Source organism: Homo sapiens, chromosome 17, assembly GCF_000001405.40.
Source record: "Homo sapiens chromosome 17, GRCh38.p14 Primary Assembly".
Classification (NCBI taxonomy): domain Eukaryota; kingdom Metazoa; phylum Chordata; class Mammalia; order Primates; family Hominidae; genus Homo; species Homo sapiens.
Genome location: NC_000017.11, coordinates 77,590,856 through 77,595,477, shown reverse-complemented (window position 1 = coordinate 77,595,477; position 4,622 = coordinate 77,590,856). Strand labels below are relative to the sequence as shown.

The 4,622-nt window shown below is 47.4% G+C and overlaps 2 annotated features.

The window, feature by feature from the left end:
* Nucleotides 3,365–3,865: an enhancer, noted in NCBI's record as "H3K4me1 hESC enhancer chr17:75587695-75588195 (GRCh37/hg19 assembly coordinates)". NCBI's record gives its function as "activates a minimal SCP1, AML or CMV promoter by ChIP-STARR-seq in naive H9 embryonic stem cells {active_cell/tissue: H9 hESC(naive)}" and the evidence as "EXISTENCE:reporter gene assay evidence [ECO:0000049][PMID:30033119]".
* Nucleotides 3,866–4,366: an enhancer, noted in NCBI's record as "H3K4me1 hESC enhancer chr17:75587194-75587694 (GRCh37/hg19 assembly coordinates)". NCBI's record gives its function as "activates a minimal SCP1, AML or CMV promoter by ChIP-STARR-seq in naive H9 embryonic stem cells {active_cell/tissue: H9 hESC(naive)}" and the evidence as "EXISTENCE:reporter gene assay evidence [ECO:0000049][PMID:30033119]".

Sequence of the window (4,622 nt, the reverse complement as noted above, 5' to 3'; positions counted from 1 at the left end):
GGGAGACTGAGGCAGCAGAATCGCTCAAACCCGGGAGGCAGAGGTTGCAGCGAGCCGAGATTACACCACTGCACTCCAACCTGGGCAACAAGAGTGAGACTCTGTCTCAAAAAAAAAAAAAAAGTAGAGCGAGCATACCATATGGATGTAGACACAGCATAACCAGGATTGATCTCTTCTCACTTTTGCCACGTGGAACTAGGCGGAAGAGCAAAATGAGAGACATGTGGAGGCAATTGCAATAGACATGCGCTGCAGAAAAAATCACAAGAACATTGCTCTAAGCTTCAGAATAGGCAGTGAGGTAGCCACAGCCAAAAGTGTACGGAGAAGGGAGGGCTCTGGACTCACTGAGTGTGAAGCCCAGGGACCAGCAGAGCCCCAGGGAGGTGAGTATGTGTAAGCAGGGGTGGCTGGAAGTGAGCTGTGGTGGTAAGACCACTGAAACAGGATTTGGCCTGCCACGAACTGGCTGTGTGGCTTGGTTAAACCACTTACCTTCTCTGAGCACCTCATTTCCTCTGTCCATCAAGACAGCTGGATTCAACCTCCTGTTTCCTGTTTTCTTTCCAGCTCTAATGTCTTTGATTCTATGACTAGGAATTATGAAAATGAAGATACTGACAGAGAACACAATAATCCCCTACTTAAACTGCTTTAAATCTTGCTCTCATGTGTGATCTCTTAATTTGAATAATTAGGAATGTCTGTGCTCTGCTCAAAGTCTGCACTTTGAACAGTTCGAGCTGAGGAGATGATTGAGCATCCTAACTGTCCACGCCCCACTGCAAAGAATTGGTCATTTCATTTCAGGCCAAAGTGAACCCAGGCACAGCATGGACCCCAAGAGGGACCTGCAAACAGGGCCACCCCCGCCGTTCCAGAATGAACCCAGAATCAGCTCCTCTCGCCCCTCTGGGCTGAGGTTTTGCCAGGTGCCTGGTGGGAGCCACCCTGCCTGTTAATATTTGTAACTTGGGCTGTATTAATTTTTTCTTGAAATAAACATCCTGGCACTCACATGTGTGGGAATATATGGTCATAATAAAGAGCTCAACTTTTAAATAACTTGGTCTTTGTTTGCAATCTTTGGTCTAGTGCTTCCCTTTCTAGGAGTTTACCTGAACAAAGGGTCAGACATTCAAAGGTTCGTGTACAAAGATGTGTCATTTACCCTTAGTAGTGAAGGGGAAAAAAAAGGCAAAAACAAGAAATGGAATTAAAATAAATGATGGTATAGCCATTAACATGTTTTCATTTAAAAACATTGGAAAGTATTCATAGTGTAAACACACACACACACACTTGAAATGTATTGCTAATATCTGCAGTGTTCTTTTCCTCTTGGAGACTGGATTCAGGCTCAGAATCCTTCTTAACACTGTGAACAACCACTACCAATCAATTGCAGTTGGCATTCAGATGAAACCTATGAGCCACCTCAGTGTGGGGACCCTTAAGTGACAAGCACAACAGTGACATTCGGGACAGAAAAGGAAGCTAAGTGGACTCTCAGTAGCCCAGAGGCCCGGCAGAATCAGGTCCCTGAGGCTGTGATGGTTTCTCTCAGACCAAAGACCAGAATGGAGGAGGAGGGCCCAAAGGGGTTCGGGATATTCCAGTTTGGGAGGGTAAGATGGCACCAAGCATCGGGCAGAGGGCTAGGATCACAGAAGGTCAAGTGAAGGTGAGTGCCGGGTCACGACAGAGTCGTTTCCTAGGAGGAGGTTGTCAGAAATTCGGTTCCTACTGCTTCACTTGGAATGATCAGAGCAGAAAAATGCTTTTGAGACAAACTCACAAGGTTTTCGGTTTGCTTTCTTTCCCCAGATGGCAGGGTGATGGGACTGCAGTGGGAGACACAGCCCCTTGGGAATGCAGGCTCCCAAGACTGAATGGGTGATGTGTAGTTTTTCTTAGTTGTTGGAGAATTGATAGACTTTTGGAGGAAGCTGTTTTAAAAGAAATTTGCGTTAGATCTTCAGTCACCACGGGACCACTGCAGTAACTAAGGGTGCTACCTGAGGGTCTCCGGGTTGGCAGACAGAGGAGCCAGTGGTCCCTCTTGACATCCCAAGGGAAAGACCGAGAAGTGTGACTTGTCTCCTCAGAGTAGGGAGATTAAGAGGCTGAACCATGGAGATTTCTGGGCCACCCAGGGGGCGGACAGAGGTAATCCTGCTGCCAGGGGACACTTGGGCCCCTCACCTGCCCCTGACATGAAGGCCTAACTGCTCTCAGAGGCCATCTGTCTCCTCCCCCAGCACCCTCCACCACCCTTGGGAGGCTGTTTGCTCCAAGGACTACATTTCCTAGATTAGGTCCTTTATTAACCCTAGGCTGGCAGGGGGGAAAATGGGCAGAGACGAGGGTCTTCTTGGCGTCTTCATTTCTTCTCCCCCGCCCAACTCCATAAATCCACTCCACGTCGATGATATTTGCAGAGTATATTTTCACGGGTCTCCATAATCCCTTCAGAATATTAAGGCTGCCTTACTTTATCTTTGGTTACATTAACTTCAATTTTCCTTATGAGTGAGTATTTGGCTAAAAATTAATATAGTGAAGTTGAAAAGAATCTTATGATAGGAAAAAGACTAATTTCATCTCTGGCTGCTCAGATCCTGGAGTACACTGGGGTTAATGTAATTAACTTACAATTTGAGCCCGGGTTGTGTACATACACTGAATCTCCCCGCTGGAAACGAGATTAGATTTTATTACTCTATATATCCTGGTTGTCTTCACCGCGCCTCCGATATTACTTCCCACAATGACTTCAAGGTTTTGTGCTGCCATGAAAACGCAGAACCATCTGGTACTGAGCCCAGGCAGTTTATTTAAGGATTTAATTAAATGCTCTAAATGGAGAGCTTCTCTGAATTAACATTTTAAATGTGACTTATTGCAGGTTTAATATTGTCTTAATGCCAACCTGGGAAACTCCATCGCCAAGTTGTTGACGTTCAAATTGAATTGATTTGGGTGGCTCCAGGGGGACCCATTAATTAATCTAAACAACTAATGGGGATTGGTTCTGACTTTTGATGAAGATTATTTACTGAGACAATTTGCAATGAATAAAGAGTCACAGTAGGCAAATGCTTAATTGAATTCAAAAAAGTCTCATTGTGTTTAATATCAGGGATGCATCGTGTGAGTAAGCTTTGAAATACCATGAAAGGGGCGATTGCTTCAATCTTCTTAGCTGTGCACTAATAACAAAGCAAATGGGTAATTACATTTTCCTGGGTAATTTGCTGCTTGCAAAAGGACAACAGGTCTGGCTGGCTAATCGCTTCCTCGGAAAGAAATTTCTAAAAGCACAAACTTTGCCCTTGGATGGCTTGTGGACCCACTGGCTGCCCAAAGGCAAGAGGATCACAGGTCCCGGTCACAGAAACCCCGTGCCACCTGCTGCTCCCTATCCACTCCCCACCCATCAGGAACTTGCCTGCCTGGGAAAGCCCTTCTCCCACCCCCACCCCTCTCCCCAACTCCCACCCCACCTCCACTTCCCTGTTGCTTTGATTCCAGTTAAATGAAGTGAGGAAGAGTGTGCCTGTTCACCCATCCTTCGGTTTTTACCTTCTGGATCAATGCATGTCAGACCTTCACTTCCAGGAAAATGGAAGGTCTAGAGTAAAAACCTCTTTACAGAATAAAAGCAGCCTAGGCAGGGGCTGGGGGCCTCCCCCCTCTGCCCTTTCCAGCCCCACTCCTGCCCTGTGACATCCTGGCCTCCACAACTGCTACTGCCTCCAACCTGTCTCTCCTTCAAGGTCCAAGGCAGCCCCCAGCAGCCTGCAGTGTCCCCAGATCACCACAGCTCCCTGTGCCCCCTCCCGTGCTGATCATGGGGCTTTACCTGGCTTCTCAAAGTGTGGCTCAGGATCAGTGGCATGAACATCACCTGGGCAAACCGGAAATGCAGGTTGTTGGGCCACACCCCAATCCAGCAAATCAGAACCTACATTTTGACAGGACTCCCAGGTGACCCGTGCGCACGTCAGCTTCAGATGCGCCAATCCGGGGCACTTTTTCCACGGCAGTCATTGAAGGAGCTTTCTTTCTTTCCCACTCACTCGCATGCCAAATCCTCCGGAGCAGCGCTCAGGGCTTCACTTCCCTCATACCTGCAGTAGCACTTGAGACTGGAAAAAGCTAATTAAAAGGGCTGAAGTGACTTAATGATTTCTCTCCAATCCTCTCCTCTACCTGGCTAGGTAGGGGTCTTGGGAGTTGACGATATTGCACTGACTGAGTACGACAGAAGCCTAATCTCACCAAGGGCAGGATGCACCTGCTTCCTAGGGGGACCCTCTCAGCGCCCAGGGCATGGGGAATGCTCAGTAAATATGTATGGAATTGACTTAGCCAGTCATTACCGTGGGCTGGTCCTTCATGTCCACATCTGGATGCATGAAAACAGTTCCTGTAGACACAGTTCTAGATAGTGACTGTCCTCCAGAGGGAGGACTTGGACCCTCCGGAAAGGTCCCTCACCTCTGTGTCCTGCCACCCAGATCTTCCAAATGCAGATTTGTTCATGTTTTCATGGGAAGTACATCTAGTATCTGATTTTGTAAAGCCTGGACTAATGTGATATTTACCAGACAAAT